A 15,885-nucleotide genomic window follows, 5' to 3' on the forward strand; every position below is an offset into this window, starting at 1 on the left:
TGAGCTTATTTTAAAAATTAGGATTGCCAAGATAATGGACATACCACAGATTAAAACTAGTGGTTTTTAGAAGGGACACTGTGTCCTCACATACTAATATTCTCTAAAAAGTGAATGACACATAGGAAAGTGTGCATATTAAATGTAAACTGTGTTATTGAGGAGTTTGCAGAGGGCAGAGGAGAGGTGGGGAGAGGCTAGCTCCACTGAAGGTTTCGGCCAACGTCGGGGCAGCGGGCAGGGAAGCGGTGAGGTCAGGAGGAGGAGGTGGGATGTGGGGCCTGCCGGTCAACACCATCCTCCCCTCCTGATGGGCTGGTAGTCAGCAGTTCACCCTGCTGTGGAACACTCACTGCAGCTGTTTCTTACAGGAGACAGGCTCAGCATCTTGCCCTAAAGCCTCATCTAGTTATAGAATAAGACAGTTGGGAAGTGCCAGGCCTGTGGCAAAATGGAGCCTGCCTGCTTCAGACTTTCAAATTTAACCCACTCCCACCCCTGTAAAAACCCTGAGCCTCCGCAGAAAGAATACTTGTTTGGTCTAGATTCCAGCCCCAGGCCATTCCCAGGACATAACCCTGGACTTACATCACTTTATGCTGAGAAATTATTTGGGGATCGCTCCTGAATCAACTCAGGAAGAAAGTCTTTATAAGATTAGAATCCAATATTCAATCAAATCAAATGTTGTTTTTGATGTACTCATTGAATTTCAGTATCTGTACACTGCAATCAGTCAAACCTGCTCTTCCAGTGCAGCTGCGCAGACTACACCAGCTTTGTTACCTGGAAGAGTCATCTTAGATTTTTTTTCCCCCAAAGGCTTTTGTTTTCATTGAGACTGAGGGAGGCCTCTTGCCAAAATAACCTGGAACTCAGACAAAGGCTGGACCCCTCCCCCCAGCAAGACGCCAGCCCCTGCCTCACAGGTAGTGCCCTGGGCAGCGATGCTGGGCAGGGAGGGCAGAAACGAGCCCACTGGCATTCTAGTCACCAGGGTCCTGATCGTTAGTCATTTGGAACTTGGGACTTGGGATTCTCTGTGTCTGCTCATGTAAGCAATGATGCCTGCGTGAGTCTGGAAGGTGACATCAAGCTATGTCAATGCTGAGAGGATGGCTCCAGTGTCCCTTAGATCAGTTCTTGGTGTCTAAGACGGGTTGGTGAGATGAGGGGCTGCAAGCGCCCTGCAGGGCAGGCGTCACTGAGCTGAGCACCCTGCCCGGCCTTAGCAGCCCTCTCAGTTCACTGGTTAATGACAGCAACCACTTGCAGTTGCACAGTTCTCTGTGCTTGTCCGGGCGTGCTCATGTCCATGTCTCACTGGTCCTCTCCTTGCCGTGGGAGGTAGGCACGCTGAAGGCGTCTGGCCCTGCCGTACAGTCAGGGCGCCTGGCCCCACGGAGGCAGCGGCCGGAGACAGTTCCTGCAGCAGACCCCTGGTTCCTTCACTTCTCTCCTCTGGGACGTCCTGTAACAACCACACAGCCCTCCTTCCCAAATGGTTTGGTTTTTAATGTTTGCTTTTCTATTCCGAACGCCTTCTGCTTTGCAACTTACTTGAAACTGCAGGATCATGTTATTCCTCATGTTCTACCCTGCACCTTAAGAGCACTGGCTTTGGTGTGTGTTTGTTTTCCTTCTCTCAGTTAAGAATTAAAAGCAATTTTACTTTGAGAAAGCTCTTATGACAAGTCCTGGGAAACCATGCCTGGGAGGGGCCGGTGGGGTGAATGGCTTCAGTACAAAGCTTGTGTCAAGGAGCCTTCGTGAGCAATGGGGCTGAGTGCTTGGCCAGCTCTGGGCCTGGGGGAGCTTTGGGGAGTTTGAGCATCGACTGCTGTGCACAGCAGTTTGTCAGAGTTCAAGTCATTGTATGTACTGAGACACGCTACAGCCATGATGCCTAAGGGAAGGAAGCCACACCCAAAAGAACATTCAATAGTCCCCCCTTATGCAAAGTTTCAGTTACCTGAGGTCTACTGCAGTCAGAAAATAGGTGAGTACAGTGCAATAAGATATTTTGAGAGAGAGAGAGACCACTTCACATAACTTTTGTTACAGTCTATTGTTATAATTGTTCTATTTTGTTAATATTGTTAATTTTTTACTGTGCCTAATTTGTAGCTTACACTTTGTCATAGGTATGCATGTATAGGAAGAAACAATATATATAGGGTTCGGTACTGGGGGGGAGTGGTTCAGGCATCGGCTGGGGGTCTTGGAACATATCCCCTGTGGATAAGGGTGGCTACTGTATAATTTGTTTATCTGAAACTCCAGAAAAGACAAAGCAAGACTGTGTGGCAGAAAGCAGGTCATTGTGGAGTTGGAGGGAAGCAGGGATTGACCGGGGAGGGGCAGGGCCTTTTTGGGGAAATGGAAACAGTCTAGATTTTTATCATGGTGGTAGTTACAGGAATGTACTCAGTTTTCAAATATCATAGATCTGTGCATTTTAAATGGATGCTTGAAAATGTATATCTCAATAAGTAGTTTAAGAAATGTGTAACGAGAGAAGGAAATACTTGCACAGTTCTGTATTTTTCTTCTTGTCTTCAAAGCTTTATAACATCCCAAAATGTGTTTGCAACTTCGATCATTCTCATTTTTGTTGTTGCTGTACTTTTTGTGTTTTTTTGTTGTTGTTGTTGTTGTTTTGCTCTAGCAAACCAAACTCAGAAAACACTTCTTAAATGCAAGGGCATTGACTTTAAACCAGTTGGTTACATAGGAACAAACAACGCAAACATATTGATTTGTTCCTTCTTGCTGAAAACGTTAGGCAGAGATATGCTTTTCGCCATGACTCATGCAACATTTTTATACTTATGTAAACGCACATGTGCGTTGGTCCGGTTCTGATTTTTAATGGGGTTGTTTTAAGGATGTGCTGCCTTTTCTCCCTACTGATTGGGTTTGGCTTCATCACTTGTTTTCCATGTTGATAAAAGGCAGCCCTTCATACTTACCTCCCTTCCTAGGGGTACATGGGGAACTAATGAGCCATTTCTGAGCCTTCCTCCTTCTGGCAAAGGCAGGCACGGTGTAAACATGTGCACAGATGTACTCAGGCCTTGTCTCTGACTCCTCTCTTCTTGCCCTCCCAGACTCCAGAGCCAGGTGCACACCTGCCAGGTGAAGGTGAGATTGAAGATAACCAGCTCCCCACATCCCCTGCAGAACAAGTGGAGCAGGGATGGAACCAGCAAACAGACCGCGATGATTCTGAAACGCTGTCCCAGCAGAGTGAAAGTGGATCAGACACAAAAACTGACCCCTTTGAAAGTGCCTCTGACACAGAGTCCTTGTCTGGGTACCTCCCGAGGGGAGTCTTCCACCCTCTAAGAGGTACTCCCGTAGATATAGAAGCACCTTGGGAATACCCTGATGTCTCAGCAACTGGACCCCCTCAGGAGCAGCATTTGACCAGTGTTCCTGGGCTTCATGCAAAGGAAGAACTCGATTTGTCCCCTAGCTTAGAGGATGACTCTTGCAAAAATGGGTGGCGAGCCTTTGCCACAGTTGCTGGAGAACAGGAGGCAGGACACCTCTGGGACTGCGCGACCAGCCTGGAGCGAGAGTCTTTGCTGGCAGGGGTTCCCCGACACACAGGGTGCTGCTTACAGAGGGCCACAGACAGCAGTGGTCCTGAGCCAGTACAGGGGGTGGCTGTTCAAGACCTCAGAGGGCTCTCCAGTGTTTCTCTTCAGAAATCCAGGTCTGAGAGCTATCTGGGCATCCCAGTGGTCTGGCCCTTCCTTCTCTGGTGCTGTGAACTGGGTCGGAGTTGGCCACATATCCACAACAGGGCCAGGGCACTGGTGCTACCTAGCAGAGGCCCACTGGACAACACAGCCCCTCTGGGGACCAGGACAAAGAAGGAAAGTACTCTAGGCCCTGCAGGGGACACAGAATTGCTCTGGTCCCAGCCCCACTCGGATGTCCCCTGCCAGCCTCCTTTGAGGACATCTTGCCTCCTACGCACCAACCGTCACCATAGTGCCCCAGAAACTACTGGTGACAAGAACAGGGCATCCCCCAGACTCAACTGTGGGCACATGAGGGCACTGGTCAGGGCCCATTCCATAGCAGGGTTTTCACCAGAGTGCCCCGAGGATCCCGTGGGACAGAATGTTGTGAAGTCTGGGACCCATGTGAAGGAAGGGGCCAAAAATGAACGAGATCCAAGAATACAAAACATCCCTTCCCCTGCACCCACCCAGCTGTCTGGCCCGATTCCTGCTTTTCAGAGTGGGGCTCCCCATCTGCAGGGTCCCTGCAAGCCTGGTGGGTTTCGCTTGCAAAGGGCCTCTCAGGACACTCCTTCTGCAGGTCTCCTGGGGGAAAACCAGTTAAGACAGGATTCCAGGTCATGTCTGGTGGCTTCATGCCTCACCTCAGAGTTAGTGAAGCTCAGTGCAGAGGAAGTGCCTGAGCCCGCTGAGTGCAAGTCAGAGCAAAGCCCAGAAAGCAGAACCCAGGAACCCCAAGGCACCCAACTCGCACCAAGAGCTGCTGATGAGAGAGAGACACAGAAGCACCTCTGGGGCATTTCTGTCCAGGCAGGAAACCAAACCAGTAATTACACATCAAAGTATGTGCTCAGCGAGGAAAGCAAGTCACCTACCAGGGCCAAGTTCCCACGGCAGCCTAGCAGTGAGGGGACCCAGGTGTGGAGTGGAGACTTGATGGGCTGCTTGGAAGTGAGTGACAGTTCAGATGCCCCTGAGACCACCCAGAAATCAAGCGCAATAGACACTTCAAAGGCAGCCGAAGAAGCCATGGTTCTAGACCCCAACTACAGGGAACAGGCTTTGCAAGGTCTTTCAGAATTCAAGGCAGCCACGGTGTCTCACTGCGGCCCCGGGGCTGAGGAGGGTGAACAGGGGCCTGGGGGTGCCGGGGGCCGGCAGCTGGAGCCCAAAGCAGGCGGCGAGGCCTCGAGGGGCAGGGGCGCCCTCATCATTGTAGCTGTGGAGCAGAAAGGTCTTCAGGCCAGCAGGAGCAATGCGGGGCCTGTTCCAGAAACACTGCCCCGTGACTTTCCTAAGGAAAGACCAGAATCTCCCTTGAGCACTGGCGAGACCCCCTGTGAGTCTCCCACTAGGGGGAAAACACCAGCCGGTAATGAGTGTGAGTTGCCAGCAGCCCCCATACAGGGAGCTGGCGATGGGGCTCTTCAGCGGGTGGCCCAGGCCGCAGAGCTTGGGAGAGTGCTGGTCCCCCAAGCTGCTTCGGAAGAGACGCCGAGCACAGAGGAGCCCCCGGGAGAGAGACTGCGTGGGGAGAGCCGGAGCTCCGGGTCAGGGGAGCGTGGCCCGGAGGAGGCCCCCGAAGGCGGTGCTGCAGCAGCCCGGGGCCAGCGCCCCCGCGTCCCCGCCTTGGAGCCGCCCCAGCCGCCACGCGGGCTCCGCAAGGGCGCGCAGGAGCCTGGGAAGCGCCCGACGTTTTCCAAGGTGACCTCCTTCAGGAAGGGCAGGCCCTTGGCCACTGAGAGCCCAGGAGGGGTCCCGGCCCCGACCACCGAGGGTCGCCGCTGGGGCTCTTCAGGCCCCGAGGGGCTCCCCAGGGAGAATCCGCCCGCTGCGGCCGGTCGGGACGCACCGCCTCTGCACCACGGGGACGCCAGCGCCTGGCCCGAGTTTGTCCCGCAGGCTGCAGGCGACAGGACTGCAGGGCCGGCAGGAGCGGGGCACACGGGGACCTCAGGGGATCTTGGTAGCCGAGGGCCTTCCTCTGAGAGCTGCAACGCAAAGAGACTCAAAACAACGGAGAAAAAACTCAGGGCAAGGTTGGCCTTGGCTCATAAGACCTTTTCAAACTTTATTGAGTCAATAGTTCTAGAGAAAGAGAACACCCATGAACGTTCCCCAAGTTCTCCCAAGGGCGAGAAGGAGAAGAGCAGGCTGCGCCAGGGTTCCTGGCGGGCGTTTCTGAAAAGCAAAGATGCCGGAAGCCCCAAAAAGCCCACCCTAGTGAGTCTGCCTCTAGGACCCGAAGTTCTCTCCCCAGCAGAGACCGACAGCCACTGTGAGGAACGGGCGGAGGACAAAGAGGGCTATGTTTTTAGCGATCACTGGGCACCCCCACTTGCCTCCACACCTTTGTCCTCCAGTTTAGTTTCTCCAGAACACAGGAGGAAAAGTGAACCGACCATCAAGTGCACAGCCACCCAGGAAGGCGGTAGGTACCTACCTTCAGGTATCTTTCCGGAAAAGTCCTGGCTGGCGTCCCCCGGCAGCCCTCGGGCCCAGCAGGCTGGAATCGCACACACCCTGCCTTCCAGCTCTGCCTGCTGCCTGGCATATGAAAACCCCGGGACGCCCTGCAGACCCACGAGCCCCAAGCCCCTGAGTCCCAGGCCTAGTGCTCAGCGGATGGGTCTCCACTACCCCGGGAGGGGTAGCGCCATCTCCATGGTTTCTCTTGGAAGCTACAGCTACGTGGACAGCAGTTCAGGGGACCCTGAAAGACCCAAGATTCCCAAGGGCCAGACCAGTTTCCTGCTTTCTCTGCAGACGCTAAACCAAGATGAGCAGAAGGAAGAGAGCAGGGAAGGAGGCCAGGGTCCGCGCGGCTTGGGCACAGTGCCCTGGCTCAGGGACCTTCCTGGGAGTGAGGTGAGTATCTGAATCGCACCAAGCCTTTCCTGACCTCTGCAGGCAAGAGAAGGAGGGGAGCAGGCGGGAATCTTCCTGAGGGGAGAGGTAAAATAGGAAGGCCAGGCCAAAATTGCCCCCGTTACACTCCCAGCCGCCCCCCCTCCCCCAGTGAACACAGCGGGTGACCAACTTCTTGAACGTTACCAAGCTAACAAGCCAGAATTGGCATTTCATGATCATTTCGTGTTTTTCTTTAATTTCAAGCCATTTGAATTTTCTTTTGTATGAACTGCCTGCTCCCTGGGCACTGCCCATTTTCTTTTCTTTTCTTTTTCTTTTTTTCTTTTTTTTTTTTTTTTTGAGACGGAGTCTCGCTCTGTCGCCCAGGCTGGAGTGCAGTCGCTCCATCTCGGCTCACCGCAACCTCTGCCTCCCGGATTCAGGCAATTCTCTGCCTCAGCCTCACGAGTAGATTGGATTACAGGCACCCGCCACCACGCCTGGCTAATTTTTGTTATTTTAGTAGAGACGGGGTTTCACCATGTTGGCCAGGCTGGTCTTGAACTCCTGACCTCGTGATCCACCCGCCTCGGCCGGCACTGCCCATTTTCTATTGAACGGTCTGTGCAGGCTTTTGTGTTAAACCTAGTTCTTCTCCACTGTGGCATTTAAAAAAATTCCTCATGTTGTCTTCTAGTACTTTAATGGCTTCTACTTTATCGTATTTAGAATTTGATCCAGCTGGACTTACTTCGTATAAAGAGACAGGAAATGTTGGTGCTTCTGAAATGTTTAGTGCAGTAAGATGGTCTCTCCCACAAAGTGACCGCTTCTGTCCAGGATAGGTTAGCAGGGTCAGGCACAGAACGGAGCAGAGAAGGGTTGGATTTCTCATCCCAGCTGCCCTTGGAAGGAGAGAGCTTTTCTGGAAATTGCAGAGCGTGCCCTGGAGACTGCGAAAAGTAAAAAGTAAGGCTCCCTCAGCTTCTTTAGACCAAGCGATGCCGAGTCTTCCGCGCGCCCAGAGCCGGGGAGCGCAGGCCACAGCCACCCCACGCGGTGGCCTCTCGGGCGCTCCCCTCCGCCTGCAGGCAGATGTCAGCCACACCTGGGCTCACGGGCTGCGCAGCTGGGAGGGCGGCAGATAAGGTGCTGGCAGAGCGCCTCCAGGCCAGGTGGGCTGCTAAGAGGGGCGGAGCTGGGCGAGAAGGGGTTTCCCAGCAGAGCATCCCACAAGGCCGAGTGGACAGCATACATTGAAATAGGATCACTACCAGCAGGAAATGGCTTCACCTCCTCAGTCTGTTTGTGTATCTCTACGCAGTTAAACACTAAAGGTTTTTTGTTGTTTTGGGGGGAGGGTTACTTTTTTTCGTTACTGTTACTACTGAAGTTTAAAAACAAAGCCAAACAATACAGATGTAGAAAGGAAAAGGCCTCTCCCCAAAACCGTCTAATCCCACTCCATGCAAGGAAACACTGCCCTATACTAAGGTGTCTCATCTTTCATTGTGTTCTCACACAGGGCTTATGGGGCAGTTTGGGGAGAGGGAATTACACCGCGGGGTCAGACATACACATTGCTCTGCATCTTTCTTGCTTGCTTAATACAGCAGGTAAAGCCCTCCAGCGCCTCATGTTCATGGCTCTGTTTAGAAGTTCCATAATAGTTCAGAGTATGGCCATGCTGTATTTCCTTTCACGGTTCTTCTACTGATTGGCATTGAGGTAATCTCTAGTTTGGGGTCTTTATAAATAACGCTTCAGCAGCACCCTTGAGCATGCGTCCTTAGATATCGATGCTTTTATTTATGTCTGTTGGATATAAAAGTGGGATTGCACAAAGGGCAGGGGTATTTTAATAGCTTTCAGATTACTTCTGAAATGATTGGCAATCAACACTCAACAGCAGTATCTGAGTGCCCATTTCCTCACACCCCTCCAACTTAGTTGCTTATTGCCCTTTTGTGTTTCTGATCACCTGAAAATACATAGAGAACTTGATTTACAAGTAAAAAGACATTTTAGTGTTAGGCAACTCAGAGTTAAATCAAGTAGTCAAAAAAAGATTTTACAGTATTTGAATTAACAAGCCTGATTTAATAGTGATATAGGCCATGCGTGGTGGTTCACACCTGTAATCCCAGCACTTTGGGAGGCCGAAGCGGGCGGATCACCTGAGGTCAGAAGTTCGAGACCAGCCTGGCCAACATGGTGAAACCCCGTCTCTACTAAAAATATAAAAATTAGCTGGGCCTGGTGGTGGGCGCCTGTAATCCCAGCTACTTGGGAGGCTGAGGCAGGAGAATCACTTGAATCCGGGAGGCAAAGGTTGCAGTGAGCCAAGATCACACCACTGCACTCCAACCTGGGCGACAGAGTGAGACTCCCTCTCAAAAAAAAAAAAAGTGATATATACATATCTGTCTCTATGTGTCTGTGTATACACACACATGCACACACATACATGGTGCAGAAGCACATACTGGAAGGCAGATATTCCTGGAAGTGGTCCCTGTGCTCACGTTGTGCATGGGATGGAGCAGGTGCTTTGGGCCTCAGGCACACACCTGGACAGCCTGCTTGGTTTGTTGGGGTTTTTTTTTGTGTGTGTGTCTTTCTGTTTGTTTTTTGTTTATTTTGTTTGATTCAGCGTCTTGCTCTGTCTCCCAGACTGGAATGTGGTGGCGAGATCACGGTTCACTGCAGCCTGGATCTCCCAGGCTCAAGCAATCCTCTTGCCTCAGCCTCCCAAGTTGCTGAGCCCCCAGGCATGCGCCACCACACCCAGATAATTTTTTAATTTTTTGTAGTGACAGAGTCTCACCTTGTTGCCCCAGTTGGAGTCTGCATGGGTTTTAACAAATAGTAAGTGAGATGATGATTATAAAGTATACAGCAAAGGGCCAGGCATGAAGCGGGTGCCAGATAAATGTGAGTTCGTATTCCTCTTTATGTTTCATTCCTTACTGGAGAAGAGGAAGGCCTAGTACACTGCGCCATCAGACCACAGACAGGAGAACAGCAGGTACATAGGGAACGGGAAGGGAAGCAAAGCTCAGAAAGGTTCCCTCTGTCTGGTAGAACCCTGGATGGTGCTGGAATGTGAAACTCCCCTTGGAGAAATGACTGCGCCATCTTGTGGGCATTCCTGGGAGAGCAGGCTCTGATGGTGAGAGTAATTTGCAAGGAATTCAGTCAGTTATTCCCACTTCGTATTAAGGAGCAGCAGTTCTCTTATCCCAATCTTTTAAAACAACCATTCTTAATATTTTGTTGTTTACTTCTAGATTTCTTCCACAGACAAGTTTTATATATGTAACATAGCTGTGATAATATCGTGTATAGAGATCTTAATTTTCTGTGACTTTACATCCTGCAGTTTCTTTAAAGCTTTTCAAAGTCAAGAAATAGAGAAGACTTACAGAACAGCATAATACATAAATGTGTAGACATATATTGTCAACAGACACTGGATGACCTCCACCAGGTCATGAAACACCACATCCCCCACCCTGCCCCCTTCCTGCCACCTCCCTTCCTCCTCCCTGCCCTACCCACTATGCCCCATCTCATGGTGTTCACTTGCATTTCATTATCGTGTTACTACTTTATTACTATGGGTGTGGGGGTGGCCTGTTTTGAGGTTTATATAAACAAAATCTTACACATTGCTTTAAACTTTACTCAGTCTATTTTGTGTCTGCCTTCCCCTGCTCTAATTAAGAATCATCCTGTGGACTGGGTGCGGTGGCTCACGCCTGTAATCCTAGCACTTTGGGAGGCAGGGGCGGGCGGATCACGAGGTCAGGAGATCTCTCATCAGCATGTTGAATTGCTCCGAATCATCATAACACATTGTATTTCTCAGTGAGCTGCTGATGGACTTGGGGGTTGTGCCCGTTTGGGGCTGCTGTGAACATTTGGGTCAGGGGCCTACTGCACGTGCATGTATATTTCTGTGGGTTGCATTTTAGGGGTGTCCTTGGGGGATGCATATCTTTAGTCATACTAAATACTGTCAAATTATTTTTCCAAAGTGATTGCATCAAATTACACTCTCTCATTAGGAGTATCCTTTGCTCTCTGTTCTCATTCACATTTGGTTGATACTGTCAGCCTTTTTAATTTTAGCCATTCTGCTAGGTGTGTAGCAGTATCTCACTGTGATTTTAGTTTTCATTTTCCTGATGTCTGAAGAGGCTAAGGAACTTTTGTTTTTGTTTTTTGAGACCAAGTCCCCCTCTGTCACCCAGGCTGGAGTGCAGTGGTGCGATCTCAGCTCACTGCAACCTCTGCCTCCTGGGTTCAAGCAATTCTCCTGCCTCAGCCTCCCAAGTAGCTGGGACTATAGGCGCCTGCCACCACGCTCAGCTGATTTTTGTATTTTTAATAGAGATGGGGTTTCACCATGTTGGCCAGGCTGGTCTCAAACTCCTGAGGTCAAGTAATCCACCTGCCTTGGCCTCCCAAAGTGCTGGGATTACAGGCATGAGCCACTGCACCTGGCCTAAGGAACTTTTTATGTGCTTTTCAACACTCTGGATACCCTTGTCAAACTAAAATAATCAAAAAGGTCAGAATCTAGTTTAAAAAGAGTTTATTCAGGCCGGGCGCAGTGGCTCAAGCCTGTAATCTCAGCACTTTGGGAGGCCGAGGCAGCAGGATCACCTGAGGTTAGGGGTTCGAGACCAGCCTGACCAACATGGAGAAACCCTGTCTCTACTAAAAACCACAAAAATTAGCCGGGCATGGTGGCGCATGCATATAATCGCAGCTAGTTGGGAGGCTGAGGCAGGAGAATCGCTTGAACCCAGGAGGTGGAGGTTGCGGCGAGCCGAGATTGCACCGTTGCACTCCAGCCTGGGCAACAAGAGTGAAACTCTGTCTCAAAAAAAAAAAAAGAGTTTATTCAGCACAGAAGTCGAGGACTGCAGCCTGGGACACACTTCCAAGTTGCCTTGGAGAGTGCTCCAGAGAACAAAAGAGAGGCTCAAATTTTTTAAAGAAAAAAAGGAGGAATCAGGAGAGGGAGTGAGTACAAATGTTGTTTATCAGGAATTCTCATTGGTTTATGGAAGTAACACCGGTTGGTGATTGGCTATACCTTGTTGAGCTATAAGGTATGTGGCATTTTATGACTCCTCAGAGTGAGTTAGTCTAGAGTCCGCATAGCAAGTGGCTCCAAGAGGTAGCTATTTAGCTGAGGGGGAGTGAGATATTATGTCTTAAATGCCTTTTGGGTTTGGGCCTGATAATTTAAAGGGCTCACATTCCTCAGATTTTTTTTTTTCACTCTCTTGTGGGACATGTCTCTCCTAGTCTGTCATCCATTTGTTTTGGGGTTGTCTTTCTCTTACTGATTCTTGATAGAATTGCATTGTGGGTAAATGTGCCACAGATATTTCCTATTTTGTGTGGCTTGTCTTTTCCCTCTTTAATGATATATATATATATATATTTTGTTTGAGATGGAGTCTTGCTCCGTCACCCAGGCTGGAGTGCAGTGGCACAATCTTGGCTCAGTGCAACTTCCGCTTCCCGGGTTCAAGCAATTCTCCTGCCTCAGCCTCCCAAGTAGCTGGGACTACAGGCGCGAGCCACAACACCCAGCTAATTTTTGTATTTTTAGTAGAGATGGGTTTCGCCATATTGGCTAGGGTGGTCTCGAACTCATGAGCTCAAGTGATCCACCCACCTCAGCCTCCCAAAGTGCTGGGATTACAGGCGTGAGCCATCGCGCCTGGGCATAATGATATCTTTTGATGAACAGAAATTCTCAATTTTAATGTTGTCAAGTGTATCCATCTTTTCTCTACCCCAAGGTCATGAAAAGAATCCCTTAAATTACCTTCTTAAAAACTTTCACGGCCTTGCTTATTACATGTAGGTCTCTGAGATGCCTGTAACTGGCATTTGTGTTCCATTCATCTGTTTGTCCGTCCTTCTGACACAGTATCTTAATCACTGTAGCTGTACAGTAAGCATTACTGACCAGTCTACCAGTTCCTCTCACGTGGTCATCAAGTCGATAAACTGAGCTCGCTGAGTGCCACTTGTGGGCGGGCAATGTTCTAGATGCAGCGGACACTGTACTGAATAATACAGCAGGATGTCCGTCCTCACAGCAGGACAGCATGCAGCAGTCAATAAATTAGTGAGCGAGTAAGATCATTTCAGATAAAAGGAAATGAGAAAGAGAGTTGAGAGGTTTGACGGTGGGGCACCCTTGGCTTGGAGATTTTGGGTCTGACATGTGAACCAAGTCTCAACTGATGAGGAAGCCATAGAGCCCTGGAAGGTCCAGCCTCATATGTTAGTAATGTGGAGGAATCCCCTCAGTCTTGCCATCGCCATTGGTGCCTGATGCTTTAGCTGCAGTCTTTCTTTTATTCTTTTCTTTTCTTTTTTTTTTTTTGAGACGGAGTCTTGCTGTGTCGCCCAGGCTGGAGTGCAGTGGCACGATCTCGGCTCACTGCAAGCTCCGCCTCCCGGGTTCATGCCATTCTCCTGCCTCAGCCTCCCGAGTAGCTGGGACTACAGGCACCCGCCAACACACTCGGCTAATTTTTTTGTGCTTTTAGTAGATACGGGGTTTCACCGTGTTAGCCAGGATGGTCTCGATCTCCTGACCTCGTGATCCACCTACCTCGGCCTCCCAAAGTGCTGGGATTACAGGCTTGAGCCACCGCTCCCGGCCTAGCTGCAGTCTTGATAGGATTGTTTTCCTCACCTGTGGATTGCTGTAGAATTTAACCCTCACAGTTTCACCTCCCACCTGTGAGACCGTGGCATAGTTCCTTTTTTTTTTTTTGAGACCGAGTCTCACACTGTCACGGGCAGTGGCATGATCTCGGCTCACTGCAACTTCCGTCTCCCGGGTTCGAATTATTCTCCTGCCTCAGCCTCCCAAGCAGCTGGGATTACAGGCACCCGCCACCACACCCAGCTAATTTTTTATAATTTTAGTAGAGACGGGGTTTCACTCTGTTGGCCAGGCTGGTCTCGAACTCCTGACCTTGTGATCCGCCCAGACCGTGGAGTATTTCTGCGTGTGTGTATGATGCAGACCAGCACGAGGCAGTCCTCTGGTGTGAAAGGTGCTGTTTGCATTTAGAGATTTCTTTCCTCTGGGATTTCAGGTTTGGGGGCAGAGAGCCTTTGATTCCAGGGGAAGCAGGCTCCAGCGTCTGCTGAAGGCATGCATACAGGATCATGCCCCTGGCTGGAGGGGCTTAGGAAGGACACCAAGACCGAGAGAGAGCAGGACAGAAATAGCTGTGGCTGGGCAAGAGGAATGAGAGGAGACTGGAAATTCAAAACTCCTGTGAGTGTTTTAATACCCACTCTGACCTGACGGTGAGCCTTGGGTTAAGACCACACTGAGACCCAGTTTCCTTGTCTATCAAGGATTGGACCAAGTGATTTCCTAGGTCTCTGCTGGGTGTAATATCCACTTTATGGAATGAATGCTGGATAGCTTTCCTGTCTACCAGCCACAGTTCTAACTTTGGTGGCAAGATTCCAACATACTGTTTCTGCTTAGGAGTTCTAAGTGTGTGTGTGTGTGTGTGTGTGTGTGTGTGTGTGTGTGTGTGTGCGTCTGAGAGAGAGAGAGAGAGAGAATGAACATTTTCTAGCCTTTAAAATGTTTATAATCTAAAATTTGTATGGAGAGATACATACCCTAAAATAGTTAAAACAATTTTGAGAAAGAAAAATCAAGTGAGGGGAATCAATAATTGATATTAATTCATGCTTATTACATAAAGTAATCAAGACCATGTAGTACTGGGGGAGGGAAAATTACATAGAGTAATGGGAAAGAAGAGAGAACACAGAAATAGACCCACACAAATATACCCACCAATTTTTAGGTGCAAAAGCAATTCAATGGATAGTCTTTTCGAGAAACAATGCTGGAGCATTTGGACATCCAAAGCAAAAAAAGAAAAACTTCGACCTAAATCTCACAGTTTATTTAAAAATTAATGCAAGAACTTCCTTTAGCCATTATTTAAGGGTAGATCTGCAGGCAATAAATTCTCTCATTCTTCCTTTCTTTGAGAATGTCTCAATTTTCCCTTCATTACTGAAGAATATTTTCACTGGATAAAAGATTCTAAGTTAATAGTTATTTTCTTGAAAAGTGACACTTGAAAAGTTTTATGTCACTTCCTTCTGGCCTCCAGGTGTCTGATGCCTTTTAAAATGTTTTTCTCTTATAAGGAAGGTGTCTTTTTACCCTCTCACTGCTCTCAATATTTTTTATTTGTCCTTAGATTTCAGAAGTTTGCTTATGTTTCTTCTTCATGTGGATTTCTTTGGATTTATACTATGTGGACTTTGCACAGCTTCTTAAATCTATGGGTTTATATCTTTGGCCAAATTTAGGAAATTCTGAGCATTATTTCTTTAAATACTTTTTCACCCCAACCCACTTTGTCCTCTCTCTTTTGGACTCCAGTTATCTAGTGTTTGATCTTTCTTTGCAGTCTCACAGGTCCATGATGCTCTATTTGTTTGGTTTTCTCTCTTTCTTTCTTTCTTTCTTTCTTTCTTTCTTTCTCTTTCTTTCTTTCTTTCTTTCTTTCTTTGGTCTGTTTTCTCTCTGTTGTTCAGATTGTATAATTCTGTCTCTTCCATCTACAAGTTCACTGATCCTCTTATCCTCTCCATTCTCCTGTAAGCTGATCAACTGAACGTTTTATTTCAGTTACTATATTTTTCAATTCTATAATTTCCAGTTAGATATTCTTTATATATTCTATTTCTTTGCTAAGATTTTCCATTTTCTGAGCTGTTCTATTTTTCATTTGTTTCATGAGTATTTGTATTGCTTTTTGAAGCATTTTTATGATGGCTGCTTTAAAATCTTTGTTTGATAATTCCTGCACCTCTGTCTTCTCAGTGCTGGTGTCTGTTGACTCTCTTTTTTATTCAAGTTGAGATTTTCCCTGTTCTTGTTATGATTAATGAGTTTCTATTTTATTCTGGATATTTTGGGGAGTGGAGTCTTTGTATCTTATTTAAATCTTGTTTTGGAAAACCACCTCTGACTCCACTTTGGTGTGGGAAGGTGGGCACTACCTCATTATTTCCAGGTTTGGGTGAAACCCTACATTCCTTTATTGGCCTCTATTGACACCTTATGCAAGGATGGGTGTTTCATTTACTAATAGGCAGGGATGAGAGTTAAGATTTTACAACAAGCTTGCACCGATAGCTTGGTGTAAGAGTTAAAGAAAGAGGAAAGAAACACAAAAAGTGGCTCAACAGT

At 48.5% G+C, this 15,885-nt stretch overlaps 1 protein-coding gene across 4 annotated transcripts in view; it reads left to right on the top strand.

Annotated features, from left to right (window-relative positions):
* Positions 1-15,885, top strand: part of ARHGEF4 (Rho guanine nucleotide exchange factor 4) — a 210,340-nt gene that overhangs the window by 73,962 nt on the left and 120,493 nt on the right. The window contains exons 2-3 of one of the 4 annotated variants that reach the window (NM_015320.4): positions 3,111-6,186; positions 6,522-6,623. The exons of 1 other annotated variant lie outside the window; for it this stretch is intronic. Coding sequence is in view for 1 of the 3 variants with exons in the window: in NM_001367493.1 (NP_001354422.1) it covers positions 3,111-6,623 (3,513 nt within the window). In the remaining 2 variants the exon portion in view is untranslated. Of the gene's footprint in view, positions 1-3,110; positions 6,624-15,885 lie in introns of all 4 variants that reach the window. 2 more of the 4 variants (NM_001375901.1, NM_001367493.1) reach the window with 2 other exon arrangements.

This window comes from Homo sapiens, chromosome 2 (assembly GCF_000001405.40).
Source record: "Homo sapiens chromosome 2, GRCh38.p14 Primary Assembly".
Lineage (NCBI taxonomy): Eukaryota > Metazoa > Chordata > Mammalia > Primates > Hominidae > Homo > Homo sapiens.